Genomic DNA, 25818 nt, shown 5'->3' with positions numbered 1-25818 from the left:
CCAGCCTGGCGACAGAGCAAGACTCCGTCAAAAAAAAAAAAAAAACCTGCCTTATTTCTGGGCAGCTGTAGTCCCCATATTTTATCCCCAGTAACCTAACAAAGCTCATCTGTCCCCAAAGGGAAATCAAATGTCCATTATATTGCAATTTCAGTAAATCACCCTTAGCTAGAGATAAGACCTTGTCAGGGGTTGCAGGACAAGATCACATGTCCACCCCACCAAGCTGTTCTCTGAACTACAGAGCTTCTCTTTGGGTTAGACATCTCCACCCTGACTTAGGCACCACAAACTGGAAAACAGGCCTGGTCATTCTTTAAGAATGTTAGAGGATTTGTGCCAGTTATGCCTGAGCAACCAATTAATGGCAAGGGTGACTGGGTTTTACAGTCTGCAGGCAAGGGGCTAAATGGGCAAACAAAACCCACTCTTTGTCTTAATTCTAAACACATGTTTCCAGGGTGCCAATATTGTGCTGCTTGAAAGTATGATTCCTGCTTTTACAGTTGTTTCCTGGCTTCCAGAAAAGATATGCGGTCCTTTTCTTTTTCTGTACCTCTGCTGGAAGAAAAAGCAGTCAGTCCACAGAGGTGAGGTTTTGCTCACAGCAAAACACATTCCAGGCTGGGTGCAGTGGCTCACTCCTATAATCCCAGCACTTTGGGAGGCCAAGACAGGAGGATTGCTTGAAGCCAGGAGTTCAAGACCAGCCTGGGTAACATAGCAAGACCTTGTCTCTGTAAAAAGTTTAGTGGGGCATGATGGCATGCGCTTGTGGTCTCAGCTACTCAGGAGGCCAAGGCAGGAGGATCACTTGAGTCCAGGAGTTTGAGGCTGCAGTGAGCTATGATTGCACCACTGCACTCCAGCGTGGGCAACAGAACAAGACACTATCTCAAAACAAACAAAAAACCACATTCCAAACTTCTATGTTCGTGCTGACTTCAGAAGGGCCAGTGTGCCTGTAAGAATCTGTGTCCTTTGTAGAAAAGCTCCATGCTGCAAAGAGTAGGAGAAAAGAGCAAAAGCAGAAGCAGTTTGTATCTTTGCTGTAGCCCCATTTTTTTTTTCAAATGCACTTTTAGATTCAGCCCAAGAGGCCACATCTCTCACCAGTTATCAGTAGAGCATGCATTTACTTCTAGCTGCTGTCAAGACTTCCCCCAGGGTCACTGTAACAGCTTGCTCTTGCAGAGCGTCTTATGAACCCCAGGGAAGGCTCTTCAGTGGAGAAACCTCGCCATCAGCGAGGAATTGTAAGAAGAGGAGAGTTCTGGGGTTTCTCCTAAAGCTGGCCAAAAGGACAGAGGGGCTATTGTTACAAAACAAGACCCTTCTAAGGGGAGAAACTTGCTGTATTTCAGTGGTATCCCTAAACTCTTCTACAAAAGCTAGCTTATCCTTCAGACTACCTGGAGATTTAATGGGACTGCTCTTATGCTGACTTAGAGAAACTGCTTCTGATTTTTATATAACACTGGGGGAGGGAAAGAAAGTGCTAGCAGTTACACTGTGTCCCAGTGCTCTGAAACCTTGAATTGTATGCTGCATCCCAATTTCAGAGATGTTAAGGTGTGAAAAAAATGTGTGTCTTAGAACTGATGAAATCTAGTAGGTGCTGGGCTCTGCCTCATGGCCACCTCTGACTGTTCATGCAGTGATGATATCAGTAGGGGCACCACTGGTCTCTCCAAACATTTCTGGACTTTTCACTGGCTGTGAATCCTGGTAATCCAGTTATAGAGTGCCACAGTTCTCTTCCATGAGGCATCCATTACCAAGAAGGTGGGCATGGTTTTTTCTTTTCCCTGAACCCAGAATGGGCATCATTATTCCTACACTGTGGCCCAACTCCTTAATAGAGTGGAAGACCAGCTCACATCTGCTTCTACAATTAAATGTGAAGAGTTACAAGCTGCCAGATCACTAGGTGCCAGCTTGTTTAAGTTTTGTTTCCCAACTTTATCCACATAATGGACTGAGTCAGAGTTCTTGGACATTCAGAAGCCAAGAAATCAGGACTTTACCCAAAATATCACCTCAGTTTTGAGTCAAGAGAGATGAACATTAGCTTTGGAGTCACTCTATCAGCCCACCCCTTTTGCTCCTTTTCCCCATCCTTTTCCTGACTGCTGCTTCTTTCTAGTAGTCTCTCTCAGAGCTCTTTGTTTCTCTCTGGATGTGAAGAAGCAGAAAGGGGGAGAAGAACCTGCAGGCATCACAAGAAAAGGAGCAGTGCTCATTGTTGTAGAATAAAAAGATAATGGCCAATTTGTCAAGAAGTGTTGACAAGTAAGATAAAGTTGGAAGTAATTAACTGGCTGACATGCTGGGAGCGGTGTGCCTGCCAATAGCTCCCTAAATCAGCCAGAGCCTTGGAAATGTGACAGCCATTCATCATTTTTACAACACGCCTCTGACAGGCTCCTCAGTTGCAAACCTGGCCAGCAAAAGTCGTGTGCTTTGACATTCTGGGGTTGTGCACCTCTCTCTGCCTTATTCTGGGTTGTGCTAAGGTACCTGGGCCCTATATCCAACCAGGAGATGCCTGGAGACGGTGAGTCAAATGGGCCAGCTTGCCAGCTCATCGCTGGGCAGTATTCCTCTCCGAGGCTGGGCACTAGGATTCCCAGAGCTGACTTTGTAAACTTCTGCAGGACAGTTCACTTAGCATAGAGAGTGCTGAATGGGAGCCATCAGCAGCACTCCTGGTGGCCTGGTATCTAACAAGTGCTGCTGCTAACCAGCCATGGGATCTATCAGTGGGAGGAAACGGGTATGCAGCCAGTAAAAGCAATTATGAAGACTGAATGGAGTGGAAAATACCTGTGTTAGTGAAAAGGCAGCATACAAAATTGTATCTATACTTTCATCACCAGTATGTATAAAATATGCATTTATGCAGAATATGCGCAGGTAAAAGTATCTTGGAAAGGTGATTATATTACAATCAACTTCCCTCCTCCATTTTTTTCTTTTTAAAAAGTGGTACTTCCACTCACCAATCTTGAAAAGATGAGTTTTTTTGCACACGCGCCCCCATTCCCCCACGCACTTCCTAATCTCAAAAACTGTTAACATTCTACCCTCTTTATTCTAAGGGCTCACACTTTCTCACATACAGATTTAGCGTGTCCTCTAGGCATTGTGACAGACAAACCATTTAAACTGTGACCAGACAGAAACAAGGATGAAGACATAGTAAGAATTCTTTTTATTTTTAGGCCACTCTGAGCCTGAGACATCAGGAATCTTTTGTTTTGTTTTTGGAGACAGAGTCTCACTCTGTCACCCAGTCTGGAGTGCAGTGGTGCGATTGTAGCCCACTGCAGCCTCACACTCGTGGGCTCAAGTGTTCCTCCCGCCTTAGTCTCCCAAATAGCTGGGACTGCAGACACAGATCACCTCACCCAGCTAATTTTTAAATTTTTTGTAGATTCGAAGTCTTGCTATGTTGCTCAGGCTGGTCTTGAATTCCTGTCCTCAAGCAGTCATCCTGTCTCGGCCTCCCAAGGTGGTGGGATTACAGGCATGAGCCACCGCGCCTAGCCAAAGAAACCTATTTTGACTGTCTAAAGCTGGCCACCTCTCTTGCACCAAACTTTTTTTTATCTTGGTGCCTTAGGTCCCCAAGAGCTCCAAGTACACCAAATGCCCCAGCTTTGAAACCTTGTAATGGGGCCAGCCTTCTCTTAATATATAAAGTTCTTTTTCCTAAGTTCCAGCCCTGCCAGACCCAGAGGTACTGTCTTCATCATCTGATTCTGGCTTTGTTTCCCTTCACTTCCCCTCCTGTCTGCATTCCGGCAGCCCTCCCAACCTTCTGCCCCGTCACTTTTCAGATGTTTTCATTTTGCTTCTGTCTGCCCTGCTGTCCTTTCTCTTCTACATTAGTCTGTTCATTCTTGAGTTCCCCAGACCATTCTCCTGTTCCCAGATTCCCAAGGTAGCTTCCTGATAAAGACATCAAGGCCTAGCCAACCCCAGATCTTCCTGGCCCTAGAAGGAATCAGACTATTTGGTTGTTAATCCTGCGTTGGGCACAGAGCTAAGCCTCAGTGCTGGGAGAAGTGACAGGAGAATCTCAAGCAGTTACCACTCCATGAGAGAAACTGCTTGATACAGTGGTTAGGACCCAAAGCAGTGTCCAGGGTGGCCTCAGTGTGGCTGGTCAGGCCACTTCAGTCAGACCTGCCACAGCCCCATCAGCTGTGATGCATGTGTCACCAGCCTGGCGCCAGGGGAATTCAGAGAATTCTCACTTGACAGGGAACCAAATGAAACTCAGACTGTGGTCTGCACTAGAAATAGACAGGAGAAAGAAGGTCCACAGCCATTTGGGAAGCCAGTGGGTGTGTTCTCATACATTCCTGATGGGAGCGCTGGGGAAGCCTGAGCGTTGCCCCAGCTGTGCCTGCAGATGCTCCTTGCTGCCTGAGGACTTTCCGACAGGCGCCGCCTTGTGTGGAAGAGGCTTGCATCACTTTGCTCTGAACCCCAGAGGTCACGCGGCACCAAGACTGAGGGATGAGGGCGATAACCAAGTGGGCCACTCAAGGAGGCACTGCCATGTCAAGTTACTGTGGACTCAGCATCTGTCCAGAAGCCTGTGGAGCCGTGACTGAGGGCACTTCCAGAGACAATGTTCTCCAGGTTTCTCTTCAGGTGGCAGGAAAGGCGTTTAGACTGCTTTGCTGTGGGTCAGCATTAAGTCCTTGAGCAGTTAATGACCCACTATTTCAGTCAATCTCATCCTCCTCCAATAAAAGGCAGTGAGGGGGCTGGGCACAGTGGCTCATGCCTGTAATCCCAGCACTTTGGGAGGCTGAGGCGGTTAGATCATTTGAGGTCAGGAGTTCAAGACCAGCCTGGCCAACATGGTGAAAACACATCTCTACTACTAAAAATAGAAAAATTAGCTGGGCAGTAGTGGCGCGCACCTGTAATCCCAGCTACTGGAGAGACTGAGGCATGAGAATCCTTGAGCCTGGGAGGCAGAGGTTGCGGTGAGCCGAGATTGCGCCACTGCACTCCAGTCTGGGTGACAGAGTGAGACCCTGTCTCAAAAAAAAAAAAAAAACCTGCTAGGGAGAGCCTGAGAGGAAAGGGCTATGGGGAGGCAGCAGGCGCCACTGCCCACGTGAGCTGCTCTACCGTCACTCCTGACAGGGCCTTTGCCGGGGGAAGTGTCTGCACAGCTGAACCACCCGCTGCTCAGCTCGCATGCTTGCCCTGCCTTGGGAACAAGGTTTCTGGATAGTGGGGATAAGATGTTCAGCGTAATGGTGTGATGTTTGCTATAGGAAGGCAGCAAGGCAATTTCTTAGTATTAGTTCTGCTCAGCTCTAGAAAATGTTTTCCTTGATTGCCAAGAACTTTCCCAGCTCAATTCAAAACTCGAATTTGATGAAAGGAGGCTCTGCAATTCAGCCTCCTTTAATCAGAATTCAATCTTGGGCTGGGGTGGGGAGAGTGGAGAATGAATGAGAATGAATATGTCTGTACAGCGGCCTCCTTCTGCCCCTGATACCCAGATTCACCATGTTCTCCTTTCCGCCTGTCTTCGTTGTCTTCCTAACGCCAGGTTCAGTTTGTGGGCTCTGGATTCTATTATGCGGATAGGCAGTTTCTGTTTGTTCTACAGATTCACAACTGTATGATAGCAACTGGATGTTATAACTGGAAACTGGAGTAGAATACCAACATACCCCACACCCATGTTAGGGAGGCAGTGGGAATCACTAGTTTAGAAAATTCTTGGGACTCAGTTCTCTTTTCCTTTTGGCCTCAGTAGGCGTCAAGAGGAGATGGGAAATCTGATTGACCTGTCATTTCTGCACACTGTTATAGGCACGTTGCTGACAAGCCTCAGTTTCTTTAAACTTGTTTGTGTTCAGATCTTTTCCACCAGACCAGCATCAGCAGGGTCTGGTTTGTGGTGTTACGTACTCCTCTTCTGTTGGGCTGGAGCTTTGAACAGTTTGCCCTTTATAAGCCTGCAGCATTAATAGGGAAAGACTGAGGGGCACCCAAGGGGGTGTTTATAGAATGGGCTTTATAAAACTCCCAGCTGCCCCGTAAAACAAGAGTTCCTCGCTAAGGGGGCTTTTGAGCAAAGGTGATTTCTTCACAGGAGCCGAACATACAGTCTCTGCCTTCAGTCTCATAAAAACCACATCTCATTAGAAAAGGGACATAATTCAAAGGACGGCTTTGTATCACCCAGGTAGGCAGGAGATCTGGGACTTAGTGGCTGTGAACTCCTGCATTTTCACAGAGACTTGCTTGTCCTGCACTTTGCAGCCTGAACTATAAGCCTGGCTGTCTTTGAAAAGCCTGCTGTGATGGCATGCTGACTTGTCACGTGGAAGGCTGGAGGCATATTAGTAGCTTCTGGAAGGAAATAAAAAATGTGAGATGGGAGCTTGGGAGTAAGAGAGGAATGTTAGTGAGGAAGTTAAAATGAAGGCACAGGAGGGCTCCCTTCTCCTGCACAATGAGTTCTAGAGAGAGAGTTAATGGAAACATCCCACCCATTGCTCACACTCGTTCATTTTACAGCTAATTCCTGGGTGCCTACTGATGCCAAGAGGAGAAAGCTAAGACACCGCCTGTCCCTCCCATTGCAGAGCTTGCAGTATACCCTTCATTATTACTTAAGATACTTTTTTCTCTTTACCTCAACATGGCACTAAAGATACTTTTCCGTGGTAACATTTTTAAGAGAAAGTCACCTTTTAAGGGAAGGCAATAGCCTGTGACCTACTGGGCTGTGTTTTCTTCATATATAAAATGAGAATATTAATAATAGTTTCACAGGGTCGAAATAATACATAGAAACAATAAGCGCAGTGCCTGGCACATATGGTGAGCTCTCTTCTTATTTTGGTATCTTCTTCTTGTATCTTCTTCTTGTTGCCTCCCGTGATGGAGTGCCAGAAGGCATGGAGGAAGAAGAAAAAATTAAGATCCCAAACAAGATAACAGACTCTCTTGATCACCAGGATTAATAAGCCTGCTGACTTCACTGTCCAGAGCATCCACATCCATAATTAGTATTCTCCAGCAGCTTTAGAGGCGTGCATGGGAACTCCTCAGAAGGAAATAAGAGAAATGTAGCTTAGGGAGAAAGTCCTGTAGGAAATTAAAGTGAAAAAGGGGGAAGAGGAAATAAATACACAGGCTGATAGCAGCTGGTTCACTAAAAATCTCTTTATTCTTTGAACAATCAAGAGAGTAGGTGTGGCTGGGCGTGGTGGCTCATGCCTGTAATCCTAACAATTTGGGAGGCTGAGACAGGCAGATCACTTGAGCTCAGGAGTTCGAGACCAGCCTGGGCAACACGGCAAAACTTCATTTCTACTAAAAATACAAAAAAAAAATAATAATGTGTGTGGTGGTGTAGGCCTTTGAGAGGCTGAGGTGGGAGGATTGCGTGAGTCCAGGGGGTGGAGGTTGCAGTGGCCTGAGATCGCACCATTGCACCCCACCTTGGATAACAGAACCAGACCTTGTTGTGAAAAAAAGAGAGTGGGCTAGGCGAGGTGGCTCACATCTGTAATCCCAGCACTTTGGGAGACCGAGGCGGACAGATCACCTGAGGTCAGGAGTTCTAGACCAGCCTGGCCAACGTGGCAAAACCCCATCTCTACTAAAAATACAAAAATGAGCCAGGTATGCTGGTGGGCACCAGTAATCCCGGCTACTCAGGAGGCTAAGACAGGAGAATTGCTTGAACCCAAGAAGCGGAGGGTGCAGTGAGCTGAGATCGTGCCATTGCACTCCAGCCTGGGTGACAGAGTGAGACTCGGTCTCAAAAAAAAAAAAAGAAAAGAGAGTGGATATGGACAGTGACCTTCTTACCTTCAGGTTCTCAAATCAGAGACAAAGAAATTAATTTCTCAGAGCGAGAGTGTTCATTTTTCATGAGTTTAGTCAAAGTTGTAATTTTTTTTTTTTTTTTTGAGACAGAGTCTTGCTTTTTTCGCTCAGGCTGGAGTGCAGTGGTGCGATCTCAGCAACCTCCACCTCCTGGGTTCAAGTGATCCTCCTGCCTCAGCCTCCCGAGTAGCTGCAATTACAGGCGTTCGCCACCACGCTCCACTAACTTTTGTATTTTTAGTAGAGATGGGGTTTCACCATGTTGGCCAGGCTGGTCTCGAACTCCTGACCTCGTGATCCGCCCACCTCGGCCTCCCACAGTGCTGGGGTTATAGGCGTGAGCCACCGCGCCTGGCCCAAAGTTGTATTTTTTTTTTTTTTTTTTTTTGAGACAGAGTCTCGCGGTCACCCAGGTTGGAATGCAGTGGTGTGATCTCGGCTCACAGCAAGCTCCACCTCTCGGGTTCATGCCATTCTCCTGCCTCAGTCTCCTGTGTAGCTAGGACTATACAGGCGCCCACCACCATGCCTGGCTAACTTTTTTGTATTTTTAGTAGAGACGGGGTTTCACCATGTTAGCCAGGATGGTCTCGATCTCCTGACCTCGTGATCTGCCCACCTCAGCCTCCCAAAGTGCTGGGATTACAGGCGTGAGCCACCGCGCCCAGCCAAAGTTGTAATTTTTTAATGATTATGTTCTTACTGCTCAATAAGAGCTTATCATGGATCCCAAGGTGCACCCCCAAGTTTAATGGCCACTGGTAAAGGCCTGGTCCCCCAGTGAGCCCAGCCTGTTGCCCTCTTTCCTGCCCACTGAGCTCTGTCTGCAGCCTGACCTGCCTCCACACATTCAGATGGGAAATATTATACAGATAAGTCATAGGACTCTCCCTCTCTCTTTTTTTTTTTTTTTTTGAGATGGAGTTTTGCTCTTGTTGCCCAGGCTGGAGTGCAGTGGCACAATCTTGGCTCACTGCAACCTTCCCAGGTTCAAGTGATTCTCCTGCCTCAGCCTTCCCAGTAGCTGGGATTACAAGCATGTGCCACAACACCTGGCTAATTTTTGTATTTTTAGTAGAGATGGGGTTTCACCATGTTGGCCAGCCTGGTCTCAAACTACTGACTTCAGGTTATCCTCCTACCTTGGCCTCCCAAAGCTCTGGAATTACAGGCATGAGCCACCGTGCCTGGCCTGGACTCTCTCTTAAAGGAGTTAAGGCCATATGTTTTTACATTTTTAATTTGCAAAGCTATGCTGGTCAGTCCTTAGAGGTGGTATATCAAGGCTGTAGCTGTATTAAGGTAAAATTTGTTTCTCTTTCGAGGTCCCTAATCACTACTTCCTAATTTTGATCAGTTTGTTGTAAAACTCATTTTTTATGCACTGTGATAATTGGGAGAGTGGATTAGGAAAAGACTTGTATTTGTTTTTGTTTTTGTTGTTTTCTCCTCGGAATGAATCGAGCTTCGGTAATGTTAAAATTTAAAAATAGGCTGGAGGCCAGGTGCAGTGCCTCACACCTGTCATCCCAGCAGTTTGGGAGGCCGAGGCCAGAGGATTGCTTGAGCCAGGAGATTGAGGCTGCAGTGAGCCATGATTGTGCCACTGAACTTCAGCCTGGATAACAGAGCAAGACCCTGTCTCTTTAAAAAAGAAAGAAAGAAGAAAAGAAAATAGAATGTTTTCCAGAGCACAAGATTGAAGACAGTTGTTAGAACTCCTGGATTTTCTTTTTCTTTTTTTTTTTTTTGAGATAGAGTCTAGCTCTGTCGCCCAGGCTGGAGTGCAGTGGCATAATCTTGGCTCACTGCAACCTCCACCTCCTGGGTTCAAGCAATTCTCCTGCCTCAGCCTCCCGAGTAGCTGGGATTACAGGTGCCCGCCACCACGCCCAGCTAATTTTTGTATTTTTAGTAGAGACGGGGTTTCACTGGATTGGCCAGACTGGTCTCGAACTCCTGACCTCATGATCCACCCACCTCGGCCTCAGTTTTTTATGTCGTTTCTTAGAGTTAGTTTCTTCTGGTTCAGGTGAAGAACACTTTATCTTCCTTATCAGAACAATTTTTTACTCCTACCAAGGCCGCCCGGCGTGTGTGGTGTGGTGGTGTGCGCCTGTAATCCCAGCTACTCCAGAGGCTGAGGCAGGAGAATCACTTAAACCTGGGAGGCAGGGGTTGCAGTGAACTGAGATCACACCACTGCACTCCAGCCTGGGCAACAAGAGTGAAACTCCATCTCTCAAAAAAAAGAAAAAAAAAAAAGAAAAGGATAGGATTGAAATAAAGATGGCCTTCATCCCAAGAATCCATTGTAATAATACAGGGACCATATCATTAAAATATATAGACTATATACTGGCTTTCTTTTTTTTTATTATTATTTTTCTTTAATAGAGATGGGGTCTCACTGTGTTGCCCAGGCTGGTTTAAAACTCCTGAGCTCAAGCAATCCTCCTGCCTCAACCTCCCAAAGTGCTGGGATTACAGGCATGAACCACTGTGCCCAGCCACTGGCTTTCTTTTTTCCTGTTTTCTTATGCTTCCAAAATCTTTATTTGGCTTCAAGGAACTAGATAATCCCAAATCTATACCTAGTAATATTATTAGTACAGTTTACCCAGCCCCATGTGATTGGGCACAAAGCCCAGTACCTGATTTATGGGGCCAAGTGGCATTGGGAACTGCTTCCCAATGAACCTACAGTGGAGTAGGTCCCTTTAGACTTGCTTTTCATTCTTAGCTTAGAAAACCTCATATAGGGCTTCCTAAGGGAAACCATCATGCCGTGGTTTCACTCTGAAATTAAAAACATCTCCGAATTTTGTAGCAGGCTAACTTATGGAGCATATTCTGGTTCATTGCCTTGCTTAGTACCAGCTCAAGAAGCACCAGCCGCATAGCTTCCCCAACGAATCTGGAGCCTAGAAACTGGATACTGGACACTCGAACAGTTCTACTCAGGAAACATTGGGAATTCGCAGTGATGACTTCCTAGTCCTAACTTAAGTCTCCACCGTAGGTGTATGTTATTTCTGCAGACAAGCATATCACTGTGTTTTAGCAGCTTTTATGCTTGGACAAACACAGGTGAAGGACCTGCTTAGCAATTGCATGTTCATTGTTTAATTCCCCGAAGAACCCTCTGAAGGAGGAGGTGATATTAGCCCTGTTATATAGATAAGGAATTTACATTCAAAAAAGATGAGTTAAATATGTCCTACTATGTACCTAAAAAAATTAAAAATTAAAATTTTTGAAACGACTTATTTATGATCACACAGCTTATAAGTGGCAGAATTAGACCTCCAGAAAGTTAAACCCAAGTTTCAATCCTTTTGTATACATTTATGCATGATGATTGGGTTTTTACCATCACATGTGGTGAGATGTGTCTCCCTCAAACTTGTTATCACGTCAGCATGTGATCAGTCTGACATGGGGAAAAACCCCATCTTCTGACTCCAAATCCAAGGCTGTTTCACCCCCAACTTTTCCTTAACAAAGAGGCATAAGGTGCTTGATTTACTGTGGGGACTTTCCTGATTCCTGTGGGCCTTGGGGAAAATCCCTGCCTTTCCTGGGCTTTAGCTTCCCCGTTAGTGAAACAGGTCTGATAACACCTCTCCCTTCCCACTCTTAGGGATGCATGGGGTCAAAGAAGTGATGGATTGGAAAGATTATTTGAAAACGCTTTGTAAACATGAGGCATTAGATTATTACTTTCACAAATGTTAGCTTCTTTAGATTTCTGGGCAATTTCCTTTGGTTTTATTGGAAGAAATGTGGTGGAATTTGGATTTTTAAAAATAATATTTATAACAGCAATTTCTTGCCATATTACCACATTGAACTCAAATCCTGGAATTTCCCAAAACCACTTAAAAATTAATTCTGGTCAAGCAGACAGTTTGTACTCAAAGCAGTAAACTGGATCCTTGCTCATTAAACCAGTCTAGACTCCCAGGTTGATGTGTCACATTTTGCTCCCTACCTTTAAACAGATATAATCATTGTGGTCTTGTGGATTTCTCAAGCGAGCTCCTTCACCCTCCCCTCTTTCCCTTCCTTCCATAACTCAGGCTTATATTTAGTATTGAGCTTAGTTGCATAAGTTCCTACAGGAATAAGGATCTAAGCCCCCATGGCTACTCTGTTTTCAAGGCCTCCTAGCAGCCTCTGATGAACCAACTGCAGGCACCAGGCCTCCCAGTGGCACTGCCCAGTTGTCCCAGTGTGGTAACAGTCCTCCAGCCTAAAGATGGCATCAGCAGAGCAGGGTGTCATTAGTGAAAAGCTTCTCTACAGTAGAGGCCAGTTCAAGAAACTCTAGATATGGTCCCTTGGCAGCCTTCTGCAAAGGGTGGAAGGGAACAGCCCCTGAAGAGGGTCTAGGGAGGCATCTGAATTTGAAGGGGGTGGGCTCTGTCAGAACGGTCAGCAGGGCTGCATTGCCACAGCTCCCAGGGTTCTGTCATTGACGTGCATGCCCCAACCTTGGTGCCACCTGTGTCACTCACAGAGTCTGATGGTTTTGATTAATTTTGTTATTCCTACTACTGAAGGCAACTGATGAGAAGTTAAGACTTAGAAGTTCAGAGGAGCCAGGTGCTGTGGTGTGTACCTGTAATCCCAGCTACTCAGGAGGCTGAGGCAGGAGGATCACTTGAGCCCAGGAGTCCGAGACCAGCCTGGACAACATAGCAAGACCCGGTCTCAAAAAAAAAAAAAAAAGTTCAGAGGAGTCTCATATGATTGTGTACTACAACAGGGATAATTTCGTATCCAAGGTTTCTGGTGTTTCAGAAACAGACACATGTTGCCTGCCTGCCGGCGTCTGAGAGGAAACCAGTCTATGCTCTTTTTTTTTTTTTTTGAGACAGTGTCTCACTCTGTCCCCCAGGCTGGAGTGCAGTGGCACGGTCTCGGCTCACTGCAAGCTCTGCCTCCCAGGTTCACGCCATTCTCCCGCGTCAGCCTCCTGAGTAGCTGGGACTACAGGTGCCTGCCACCACGCCCGGCTAATTTTTTTGTATTTTTAGTAGAGACAGGGTTTCACCTTGTTAGCCAGGATGGTCTTGATCTCCTGACCTCGTGATCCAACCGCCTCAGCCTCCCAAAGTGCTGGGATTACAGGCGTGAGCCACCACACCCAGCCTAGTCTCTGCTCTTAAAGGAAGGGCCACAGAGCAGCAAGATGAGTGTTCCCATTACTGACCCCCAGAATCATGGGAGGAGAGCACAAACCTCTTTCAGATGAAACGATTTAAACTGAGCTTTCTGGATGGTAATAGATAATTGATACTCTTTCAGCATCTGCAAGACATTGTCCTCAAAGTGCTGGTGAACCATCTGCCCACAAATGACCCCCACATCTCCTACCCTCAGACCTGTTGAGTGTAACTACCTTTTCCCTTTGTTTTCTCAGCATTAATAATAAGCTACAGCAGCCGGAGGCAGCGGCCGGAGTGTTAGAATATGCCATGAAACACTTTGGAGAGCTGGTAAGCACCTCATTCTTTTTGGAAAAGCAGGAGGTAGAGACTTGGCTAGGGAGTTATTGGCCCTGACCTTCAGAAAGTTACTTTCCTTTTCTGTTTTTTCTCCAATTCATAACAGTCTGATGCTGACTTACCAGTCTTCAGGATGAAAGAGATAAACTGTGTCTGTAGGGACTCTATTTCTTTCTTTTTTTTTTTTAATTATACTTTAAGTTCTAGGGTACATGTGCACAACGTGCAGGTTTGTTACATATGTACACATGTGCCATGTTGGTGTGCTGCACCCATTAACTCGTCATTTACATTAGGAATATCTCCTAATGCTATCCCTCCCCGCTCCCCACACTCCACGACAGGCCCCGGTGTGTCATGTTCCCCATCCTGTGTCCAGGTGTTCTCATTGTTCAGTTCCCACCTATGAGTGAGAACATGCAGTGTTTGGTTTTCTGTCTTTGCGATAGTTCACTGAGAATGATGGTTTCCAGCTTCATCCATGTCCCTACAATGGACATGAACTCATCCTTTTTTATGGCTGCATAGTATTCCATGGTGTATATGTGCCACATTTTCTTAATCCAGTCTATCATTGATGGACATTTGGGTTGGTTCCAAGTCTTTGCTATTGTGAATAGTGCCGCAATAAACCTCATGTGTGCATGTGTCTTTATAGCAGCATGATTTATAATCCTTTGGGTATATATCCAGTAATGGTATGGCTGGGTTAAATGGTATTTCTAGTTCTAGATCCTTGAGGAATCGCCACACTGTCTTCCACAATGGTTGAACTAGTTTACAGTCCCACCAACAGTGTAACAGTGTTCCTATTTCTCCACATCCTCTCCAGCACCTGTTGTTTCCTGACTTTTTAATGATCGTCATTCTAACTGGTGTGAGATGGTATCTCATTGTGGTTTTGATTTGCATTTCTCTGATGGCCAGTGATGAGCATTTTTTCATGTGTCTTTTGGCTGCATAAATGTCTTCTTTTGAGAAGTGTCTGTTCATCTCCTTTGCCCACTTTTTGATGGGGTTGTTTGATTTTTTCTTGTAAATTTGTTTAAGTTCTTTGTAGATTCTGGATATTAGCCCTTTGTTAGATGGGTAGATTGCAAAAATTTTCTCCCATTCTGTAGGTTGCCTGTTCACTCTGATGGTGGTTTCTTTTGCTGTGCAGAAGCTCTTTAGTTTAATTAGATCCCATTTGTCAATTTTGGCTTTTGTTGCCATTGCTTTTGGTGTTTTAGACGTGAAGTCCTTGCCCATGCCTATGTCCTGAATGGTATTGCCTAGGTTTTCTTCTAGGGTTTTTATGGTTTTAGGTCTAACGTTGTTAAGTCTTTAATCCATCTTGAATTGATTTTTGTATAAGATGTAAGGAAGGGATCCAGTTTCAGATTTCTACATATGGCTAGCCAGTTTTCCCAGCACCATTTATTAAATAGGGAATCCTTCCCCCATTGCTTGTTTTTGTCAGGTTTGTCAAAGATCAGATGATTGTAGATGTGTGGTATTATTTCTGAGGGCTCTGTTCTGTTCCATTGGTCTATATCTCTGTTTTGGTACCAGTACCATGCTGTTTGGTTACTGTAGCCTTGTAGTATAATTTGAAGTCAGGTAGCGTGATGCCTCCAGCTTTGTTCTTTTGGCTTAGGATTGTCTTGGCGATGCGGGCTCTTTTTTGGTTCCATATGAACTTTAAAGTAGTTTTTTCCAATTCTGTGAAGAAAGTCATTGGTAGCTTGATGGGGATGGCATTGAATCTATAAATTACCTTGGGCAGTATGGCCATTTTCACGATATTGATTCTTCCTATCCATGAGCATGGAATGTTCTTCTATTTGTTTGTGTCCTCTTTTATTTCGTTGAGCAGTGGTTTGTAGTTCTCCTTGAAGAGGTCCTTCACATCCCTTGTAAGTTGGATTCCTAGGTATTTTATTCTCTTTGAAGCAATTGTGAATGGGAGTTCACTCATGATTTGGCTCTCTGTTTGTCTGTTATTGGTGTATAAGAATGCTTGTGATTTTTGCACATTGATTTTGTATTCTGAGACTTTGCTGAAGTTGCTTATCAGCTTAAGGAGATTTTGGGCTGAGATGACGGGGTTTTCTAAATATACAATCATGTCACCTGCAAACAGGGACAATTTGACTTCCTCTTTTCCTAATTGCCTTTTATTTCTTTCTCCTGCCTGATTGTCCTGGCCAGAACTTCCAACACTTTGTTGAATAGGAGTGGTGAGAGAGGGCATCCCTGTCTTGTGCCAGTTTTCAAAGGGAATGCTTCCAGTTTTTGCCCATTCAGTATGATATTGGCTGTGGGTTTGTCATAAATATCTCTTATTATTTTGAGATACGCCCCATCAATACCTAATTTATTGAGAGTTTTTAGCATGAAGCGCTGTTGAATTTTCTTGAAGGCCTTTTCTGCATCTGTTGAGGTAGTCATGGTTTTTGTCTTTGGTTCTGTTTATATGATGGATTACGTTTATTGATTTGCATATGTTGAACCAGCCTTGCATCCCAGGGATGAAGCCCACTTGATCATGGTTGATAAGCTTTTTGATGTGCTGCTGGATTCAGTTTGCCAGTATTTTATTGAGGATTTTTGCATCAATGTTCATCAGGGATATTGGTCTAAAATTCTCTTGTTTTGTTGTGTCTCTGCCAGGCTTTGGTATCAGGATGATGCTGGCCTCATAAAATGAGTTAGGGAAGAGTCCCTCTTTTTCTGTTTATTGGAATAGTTTCAGAGGGAAGGAATGGTACCAGCTCCTCTTTGTACCACTGGTAGAATTCGGCTGTGAACCTGTCTAGTCCTGGACTTTTTTTGTTTGGTAGGCTATTAATTATTGCCTCAATTTCAGAGCCAGTTATTGGTCTATTCAGGGATTCAACTTCCTACTGGTTTAGTCTTGGGAGGGTGTATGTGTCCAGGAATTTATCCATTTCTTCTAGATTTTCTAGTTTATTTGTGTTGAGGTGTTTATAGTATTCTCTGATGGTAGTTTGTATTTCTGTGGGATCGGTGGTGATATCCCCTTTATCATTTTTTATGTGCCTTTTTGATATTTGATTCTTCTCTCTCTCTCTCTTTTTTTTTTTTTTTTTTTTCAGGCAGAGTCTTACTCTGTCGCCCAGGCTGGAGTGCAGTGGCATGATCTCGGCTCACTACAAGCTCCGCCTCCCAGGTTCATGCAATTCTCCTGCCTCAGCCTCCTGAGTAGCTGGGACTACAGGCGCCCGCCACCAAGCCCGGCTAATTTTTTATAGAGATGGGGTTTCACCGTGTTAGCCAGGATGGTCTTGATCTCCTGACCTCGTGATCCGCCCACCTCGGCCTCCCAAAGTGCTGGGATTACAGGCATGAGCCACCGCGCCTAGCCTCTCTTTTCTTCTTTATTAGTCTTGCTAGTGGTCTATCAATTTTGTTGATCTTTTTCAAAAAACCAGCTCCTGGATTCATTGATTTTTTGAAGGGTTTTTTGTGTCTCTGTCTCCTTCAGTTCTGCTCTGATCTTAGTTATTTCTTGCCTTCTGCTAGCTTTTGAATGTGTTTGCTCTTGCTTCTCTAGTTCTTTTAATTGTGATGTTAGGGTGTCAATTTTAGATCTTTCCTGCTTTCTCTTGTGGGCATTTAGTGCTATAAATTTCCCTCCACACCCTGCTTTAAATGTATCCCATAGATTCTGGTATGTGGTGTCTATGTTCTCATTGGTTTCAAAGAACATCTTTATTTCTGCCTTCATTTCATTATGTACCCAGTAGTCATTCAGGAGCAGGTTGTTCAGTTTCCATGTAGTTGAGCGGTTTTGAATGAGTTTCTTAATCCTGAGTTCTAGTTTGATTGCACTGTGGTCTGAGAGACAGTTTGTTATAATTTCTGTTCTTTTACATTTGCTGAGGAGTGCTTTACTTCCAACTATGTGGTCAATTTTGGAATAAGTGCGATGTGGTGCTGAGAAGAATGTATATTCTGTTGATTTGGGGTGGAGAGTTCTGTAGATGTGTATTAGGTCCACTTGGCGCAGAGCTGAGTTCAATTCCTGGATATCCTTGTTAACTTTCTGTCTTGATCTGTCTAATGTTGACAGTGGGGTGTTAAAGTCTCCCATTATTACTGTTTGGGAGTCTAAGTCTCTTTGTAGGTCTCTAAGGACTTGCTTTATGAATCTGGGTGCTCCTGTACTGGGCGCATATATATTTAGGATAGTTAGCTCTTCTTGTTGAATTGATCCCTTTATCATTATATAGTTGCCTTCTTTGTCTCTTTTGATCTTTGTTGGTTTAAAGTCTGTTTTATCAGAGACTAGGATTGCAACCCCTGCTTTTTTTTTGTTTTCCATTTGCTTGGTAGATCTTCCTCCATCCCTTTATTTTGAGCCTATGTGTGTGTCTGCACGTGAGATGGGTCTCCTGAATACAGCACACTGATGGGTCTTGACTCTTTATCCAATTTGCCAGTCTGTGTCTTTTAATTGGAGCATTTAGCCCATTTACATTTAAAGTTAATATTGTTATGTGTGAATTTGATCCTGTCATTATGATGTTAGCTGGTTATTTTGCTCGTTAGTTGATGCGGTTTCTTCCTAGCATTGATGGTCTTTACAATTTGGCATGTTTTTGGAGTGGCTGGTACCGGTTGTTCCTTTCCATGTTTAGTGCTTCCTTCAGGAGCTCTTGTAAGGCAGGCCTGGTGGTGACAAAATCTCTCAGCATTTGCTTGTCTGTAAAGTATTTTATTCCTCCTTCACTTATGAAGCTTAGTTTGGCTGGATATGAAATTCTGGGTTGAAAATTCTTCTCTTTAAGAATGTTGAATATTGGCCCCCACTCTCTTCTGGCTTGTGGAGTTTCTGCCAAGAGATCCGCTGTTAGTCTGATGGGCTTCCCTTTGTGGGTAACCCAACCTTTCTCTCTGGCTGCCCTTAACATTTTTTCCTTCATTTCACCTTTGGTGAATCTGACAATTATGTGCCTTGGAGTTGCTCTTCTCGAGAAGTATCTTTGTGGCTTTCTCTGTATTTCCTGAATTTGAATGTTGGCCTGCCTTGCTAGGTTGGGGAAGTTCTCCTGGATAATATCCTGAAGAGTGTTTTCCAACTTGGTTCTATTTCACTCCCCGTCACTTTCAGGTACACCAGTCAGACGTAGATTTGGTCTTTTCACATAGTCCCATATTTCTTGGAGGCTTTGTTTGTTTCTTTTTATTTTTTCTCTAAACTTCTCTTCTCGCTTCATTTCATTCATTTGATCTTCAGTCACTGATACCCTTTCTTCCAGTTGATCAAATCGGCTACTGAAGCTTGTGCATGCATCACGTAGTTCTCATGCCATGGTTTTCATCTCCATCAGGTCATTTAATGTCTTCTCTACACCAGTTATTCTAGTTAGCCATTCGTCTCATCTTTTTTCAAGGTTTTTAGCTTCTTTGCGATGGGTTTGAACATCCTCCTTTAGCTTGGAAAAGTTTGATCATCTGAAGCCTTCTTCTTTCAACTCATCAAAGTTGTTCTCCGTCCAGCTTTGTTCCGTTGCTGGCAAAGAGCTGCGTTCCTTTGGAGGGGAAGAGGCGCTCTTATTTTAAGAATGTTCAGCTTTTCTGCTCTGGTTTCTCCCCATCTTTGTGGTTTTATCTGCCTTTGGTCTTTGATGATGGTGATGTCCAGATGGGGTTTTGGTGTGGATGTCCTTTCTGTTTGTTAGTTTTACTTCTAACAGTCAGGACCCTCAGCTGCAGTTTTGTTGGAGTTTGCTGGAGGTCCACTCCAGACCCCGTTTGCCTGGGTATCACCAGTGGAGGCTGCAGAACAGCGAATATTGCAGAGCAGCCAATGTTGCTGCCTGATCGTTCCTCTGGAAGCTTCGTCTCAGAGGGGCACCCAGCCGTGTGAGGTGTCAGTCGGCCCCTACTGGGAGGTGCCTCCCAGTTAGGCTACTGGGGGGTCAGAGACCCACCTGAGGAGGCAGTCTGTCGCCTCTCAGATCTCAAACTCTGTTCTGGGAGAACCACTATTGTCTTCAAAGGTGTCAGACGGGGACATTTAAGTCTGCAGCAGTTTCTGCTGCCTTTTGTTCAGCTATGCCCTGCCCCTAGAGGTGGAGTCTACAGAGGCAGGCAGGCCTCCTTGAGCTGTGGTGGGCTCCACCCAGATCTAGCTTCCCGGCCACTTTGTTTACCTACTCAAGCCTCAGCAATGGTGGGCACCCCTCCGCCAGCCTCGTTGCCTACTTGCAGTTTGATCTCAGACTGCTGTGCTAGCAATGAGCAAGGCTCCGTGGGCGTGGGACCCTCTGAGCCAGGCACGGGTTATAATCTCCTGATGTGCCATTTGCTAAGACCGTTGGAAAAGCGCAGTTTTAGGGTGGGAGTGACCCGATTTTCCAGGTGCCATCTGTCACAACTTCCCTTGGCTAGGAAAGGGAATTCCCTGACCCCTTGTGCTTCCGGGGTGAGGTGATGCCTCACCCTGCTTTGGCTTACATTCCATGGGCTGCACCCACTGTCCTGCACCCACTGTCCGACAAGCCCCAGTGAGATGAACCCAGTACCTCAGGTGAAATGCAGAAATCACCTGTCTTCTGTTTTGCTCACACTGGGAGCTGTAGACTGGAGCTGTTCCTATTCGGCCATCTTGGAACCTCCGGGACTCTATTTCAACTGAGATAAATCATGAGGGTAGATTCGAATATGCAGTAAGCACTGATTTTATCAAACTCTTAGCATGTGCCTGGCCCTTTGCTAAGTGTTTATATACTTCATGTAATTTGGTCCTCACAACAATGCTATGAAGTGGTTACTGCTGTTATCACATTTTACAGATGAGGAGACTGTGGTCCCAGCAGGTTAAGAACTGGTCTGAGCTGACAGAGTGAATAAATGGCAAAACCAGGACTTGAACCAGGGCAGTCTGACATTAGAGCCAAGGCATTTGCCCCTGATCTGAGTTATCTTTGTGGGAGCTTGCATTGTGTCTAGGCCACAGTTAATCCTCATTAGATACTTAGGAAGACACCATGGCCAGTTCTTTAGAAAATATATGCTATACAGCCGGGCGCAGTGGCTCACGCCTACAATCCCAGCACTTTGGGAGGCCGAGATGGGCAGATCACCTGAGATCAGGAGTTCAAGACCAGCCTGACCAACATGGAGAAACCCCATCTCTACTAAAAATACAAAATTAGCCTGGCATGGTGGTGCATACCTGTAATCACAGCTACTCGGGAGGCTGAAACAGGAGAATCGCTTGAACCTGGGAGGCAGAGGTTGCAGTGAGCTGAGATTGTTCCATTGCACTCCAGCCTGAGCAACAAGAGCGAAACTCTGCCTCAAAATTAAATAAATAAATAAATAAATAAATAAATAAATAAATGCTATAATTGATATCTGACATTGAGGCATTTTTGTGTTCGTTATTGCTTACATAGCTACTTCCCTACTGCCATCTTTGGCCTACCAATATTTAAAATGTTTCTGTTATTCTTTGTGGTCTTGGCAGGGCATTTTGATAACTTCTAAAATACATAAAGCATCAACTTAATCAACTTAGTATTGAATTCCCGGAAGGTCAAGAAGCTCTAGGTCCATATATTTGATGAGGAACCTTTTGTTAGTCATGTAGGTTGCTTACTGTGGTTTGCCTTGATCAGGAGCCCAGGATGTTAAAGTGAGAAAAATTGGGAATATTTAACAGGCTTTTGTTTGATCATCTAGCATTTTGCCTCACAGAAGGGCTAGTAAATTAGAATGAAACGTTTAAGGGAATCTTTTGCCATCTTTAGCACATATTATCTTTTTTTTTTTTTTGAGACGGAGTTTTGCTCTTGTTGCCCAGGCTGGAGTGCAATGGCACGATCTTGGTTCACTGCAACCTCTGTCTCCTGGGTTCAAGCGATTCTCCTGCCTCAGCCTCCCAAGAAGCTGGGATTACAGGCATGCACCACCACGCTCAGCTAATTTTGTGTTTTTATTAGAGACAGGGTTTCTCCATGTTGATCAGGCTAGTCTCAAACTCCCAACTTCAGGTGATCCTCCCACCTCGGCCTCCCAAAGTGCTGGGATTACAGGCGTGAGTCACCATGCCCGGCCTTAGCACATATTATCTGTAACTAGACTAAGACAGCATTTCTCCAGATGATGGCAAAGTGAAAGAACTGTATCTCATCCATCCTTGCCACAATCCTTGTTTGCAGAGAGAAGAAAGTAGGGCGAGAGGGCACTTCATGTACTCCACCTAGATCAAGATGTTCTCTCCTTTGATATCCTTAGAGCTTAGATCCCAGAAAGTGCTGATTGAGACAAGGACTCCGCAGACATCTGGTATTCAGGTGATCTGCCAGCAGATGGTTTATACCCCATACTCAGAATGCCAGCCTTCAATGAAACTTTCTCCATCTTCAGGTTCCAAAGGTGGCCATTAGCTCCAGGATTATTGCTAAACCCGTGGTGGATTTTCTGTTATATTTAGGTAGCTGAATCATATTAAGCTTGACAATGGTTTGCTTTTTCTTGGCAGAGCCTGTGCTTTCTCAGCAAAATTTATGTAACAGCAATCTCATTAGAATTTTGTGTGATTCATTGCTTAAACCTTATAGTTTCTGCAATCTATTGCAATTCAAAATATCCTACCCTCTAACTGACCCACTCCATATGCTGCCCCCTCTCCCCTCTGCTTGTTCATGCTGAGTGTATGCCACACATTAGTCACCAGCTCTTTTTTTTTTCTTTTCCACCCAGTATAGAAATTTGAAATGAGAAATCTACCAGTGCTTTTAAATTTTACAGTTTTTGTAGTCACTCTTTTCTAAGTTTCCTATTTTGTATTTAGGCATAATAGATATTATTTTGGACAGGCTTGAAAAATGAAGTTGAGATAGTTTGCCTTACGTGGAGCCAGATACGCTCATTTTGACAAACTCCACTGATGTTGGGCAAAGACTTTATGGCAGCAGAATTAGTCTAGGGGCAGCAGAGGGCACCGGCTCTGCCAGAAAGAACCAGACCAGGGAAAGTAGGTACAAGGGAACAATCTCCAGCATAAATGACCTCTTTTCAGAGGTTCAAGAAGAAAAGATTATTTTAGACAGCTTAGCAGAGTAGTTGTTAGTCTACATACTGCACAAACATCAGTTTTATTTAGAAAGGGGAAGAGGGTAATGGGAGAAACTAGTGTGGGCCCTGCATTATATCATACAAATTTCACTGCAGAATCATATTGTTGTTAAAGAAATCCCTAGAGAGCCACTACCCTTGCCTGTGCAAAAATAGTCATTTATTGAGCTGATGATGAAGTAGCCCAGGAGAGAAACTGAGATGGAGGGCAGACAGAAAGCATATAAAACAGTCTCCTGATCATTTGGAGAGTCATAGTCTGTAACTTTCAGACTGTAGCACCTCCTACTCACGTGGACAACACCCTCTTTCAGCGTGGCACACCATCTGCTAGGGTAATGCAATCCCTCCTTTGGCCCCTGACACTGGTAAACCTGCCAAGCACTGAGCAGGAGGGAACATTGGATGGGAGACTCTAGAAGAATAGGGGAAAGACTTTCCAAAAAATTTTAAGTGGTGGTGTTATATTTTAAATTATTATTTCCTGAAAGTTTAAAAATGTGTTAAGAAATGCAGAGAATCAAGAGGTTTTAAAAAGTGAGTTGTTTTCCTCCAGCAAACATGCAGATGAGGCCTGGTCTTTCTGGCCCCATCAGGAAAGCAGCTGCCATCCCTGTCAAGTAGCCCAGTGTCAGCACTCCAGCAGATCGGAGCGATGGCACCTTTGAAACAGCTCTGGTGCTCTGGTCGACGTTTTCTTCTATCCCTAAATGATTTCCCCTGTCCTCGTGTCCGCACATCCTGGTGTGTTCTGATGACCCATGTGTCTGGGAAGGAAATAATGGGGGAGGAGTATGGCCTGACGTCTGCTCTCAGATAATCCCAGGATCATTCCATCCATGTGCCAAGGAACCAGTATTTCCACCTTCCCCAAGCAGCACTCCTCCAGATTGTCTGAAGTTGTTTTTAATCCAAGCCCAGACGTAACTGTGATAGGTGAAGTGTCATGCGTACAGCAGCACATTAGGAAAGAGAGTATGTGGATTAAACAATGTGATCCCTTCTTCTGTGTACCTCACAGCAGTCTTTCTTTCCCATGTAACAGGAGATCCAGGCTACCTGGTATGAGAAACTGCACGAGTGGGAGGATGCCCTTGTGGCCTATGACAAGAAAATGGACACCAACAAGGACGACCCAGAGCTGATGCTGGGCCGCATGCGCTGCCTCGAGGCCTTGGGGGAATGGTGAGCTTCCTAGAATGATGGCATGTGTGGCTGCAAGAGACTTCGTCTCTTTGATCTTTGGATTTGAAAGGAAGGCTTCCCCCACACGGAGTTCTCACTTCAGACTCATTTTGTTCCACTTGATACTTCTCAGGAATCATCTTTCACTTTTGGTGTTTTTCTCTCTCCATTCTATCTCAGCTGCTAAGTAGGAAGGCCTTCACTTAAACTTTATAATGCTCTAGGACAGGACAGCCTTGGGGGTGCTCCTGGGATCTACTTCTCCTGTCTACTCTCCTGATCTTTACTGACCCAGTGAAGAGCTCATATTCTTACTTGGCAACCTTGATTTTTAAAATTAGCTCTTGCAGATGTTTTTAGGAAAGAAGAACAGTGACTGCCCTCTTCAGGTGCTTCACCTATATCGGATGCTTACTGTGTGTCCAGCACTATGCCAGGCTCCAAGGAAACAAAATACACAAGAAAACAGGCCTTTCCTGTGAGGTTGATGAGACAGCCACGTAAACAGAGGGTTATTATAGCCTGAGAGGATGTTGATAATGTGTGAGCCATGCTACCTTGAAAGCCCAAAGGAGGAAGCAGGGTGATTTTGCAGTACTTCCTGGAGGAAGGACTGAGAGTTAGGAGATAGGTAAAGGAGAAGGTAGGGGGGAAACAGGTACTCCAGGTGCAAGCAACAGTAATGCGTAACTGAGAACATTTGGCTAGGTTTTGGTTTGGAGAGTTGCTTGGGAATGTTGAAGGGAAAAAATGGCCTCCATTCTGTTTCCAACAACAAGTGCAACTTTTAAAAAATAGTTAAAATAAAATGCTATACTATCATTGTTAAACTGTTTAATTGCAGTTTTAAATGACTAAAACAGGCCGGGCACAGTGGCTCACACCTGTAATCCCAACCCTTTGGGAGGCCAAGGCAGGCAGATCATTTGAAGTCAGGAGTTTGAGACCAGCCTGGCCAACATGGCGAAACCTCGTCTCCACTAAAAATAAACAATTAGTTGGACGTGGTGTTGCAGGCCTATGATCCCAGCTACTCGGGAGGCTGAGGCAGGAGGATCACTTGAACCCGGGAGGCGGAGGTTGCAGTGAGCTGAGATTGCACCACTGCACTCCAGCCTGAGTGACAGAGCGAGACTCTATCTCAAAAAAATAAATAAAAATAAATAAAAAATAAATGACTAAAACAAAGTTCCATGCTACCTCCCGACTAGTAGGTTATCCCTACTTTCTCTGGAACATGATACTGAGGGTCCACTGTTCCTTCATTCAGCCAGTAACTATCACGTGTGTATTCATTGCTAGTGTCTGTGCCAGGCCCTAGGGACACAGCCGTGAGCAAGACAGTTACAGCCCCTGCCTTCCCAGAGCTTACAGGACAGACAACCAGGCTGTCGTAATACATTGTGATACCATCAACAAAGGAGCCCAGGGGGCTGTGGGTAATAGGAAGCACCCTAATCAGCCTTGGAAGATACCGGGAGGAAACGATATCTAACTTGGACCTGTACAATGAGGAGCACAGTATGGGGGATTTTAGTAGGCCTTTTTGTTCAGATTCTTCTCTGTGACCCCCTGTCTTCAGAAATAAGGATGTACCTTTCCTCCAGGTATAGGGAAGGCATCTCTCACATGAGGGCCTTATGACCTCCTTCAGGGGAAGGTCAAAATATTTTTCCTAGATGTTATGACCTGCTTCAGGGCATAAGGGCAGGGGAGAGTCAGAGTAATTTTTTTTTTGCTGCCATTTTCTTAAAATATTCAGTATGCCAAGGTGTGCTATATTTCAGGGTAGTATATCCTGACCCCCATCACAGGGATGTACATTGACGGCAATGTGCTGTTTTTACCATTTTGCACTCTGCTGTTTTCACTTAACAAGTCTAGGCCACTGTTCCATATCAGCACCTGTAGAGCTACTGCCTCATTTTTTTAATAGCTGCATGATATTTCATCATATCAATAAATCTAGTCTATTTAATATAGGCAAATTTTTATTTGTTTAGACATTTCCTGCCTTGGAAAGTTTAAGAATATTGGACAAAATCAAAGCAAGTCTTCTAAAAGAATGATCTTTCACTACATGTAGTCTTTCTGTACTACCTTAGCCTCCCTTGTAGCTGAGACTACAGGCACACACCACCAC

The 25818-nt window shown here is 44.8% G+C and overlaps 1 protein-coding gene and 1 non-coding gene across 9 annotated transcripts in view, besides 1 other annotated feature; both read left to right on the top strand.

Moving 5' to 3' along the window:
- The window catches only part of MTOR (mechanistic target of rapamycin kinase), a 156017-nt gene that overhangs the window by 81725 nt on the left and 48474 nt on the right, over positions 1-25818 (top strand). For all 8 annotated transcript variants that reach the window (XR_007058581.1, NM_001386501.1, NM_004958.4 and 5 more), the window contains 2 exons: positions 13310-13385; positions 23536-23675. Coding sequence is in view for 7 of the 8 variants with exons in the window: in NM_001386501.1 (NP_001373430.1) it covers positions 13310-13385; positions 23536-23675 (216 nt within the window). In the remaining variant the exon portion in view is untranslated. The remainder of the gene's footprint in view (positions 1-13309; positions 13386-23535; positions 23676-25818) is intronic.
- Positions 2441-2979: an enhancer, noted in NCBI's record as "NANOG hESC enhancer chr1:11237905-11238443 (GRCh37/hg19 assembly coordinates)". NCBI's record gives its function as "activates a minimal SCP1, AML or CMV promoter by ChIP-STARR-seq in naive H9 embryonic stem cells {active_cell/tissue: H9 hESC(naive)}" and the evidence as "EXISTENCE:reporter gene assay evidence [ECO:0000049][PMID:30033119]".
- On the top strand, positions 11214-11320 carry LOC124904848 (small nucleolar RNA U13). Its single transcript, XR_007067440.1, has one exon. It is a non-coding gene; the product is annotated as a small nucleolar RNA U13 (small nucleolar RNA).

This window comes from Homo sapiens, chromosome 1 (genome assembly GCF_000001405.40).
Source record: "Homo sapiens chromosome 1, GRCh38.p14 Primary Assembly".
NCBI classification, from domain to species: Eukaryota; Metazoa; Chordata; class Mammalia; order Primates; family Hominidae; genus Homo; species Homo sapiens.
This window is presented reverse-complemented; position numbering and strand designations above follow the sequence as displayed.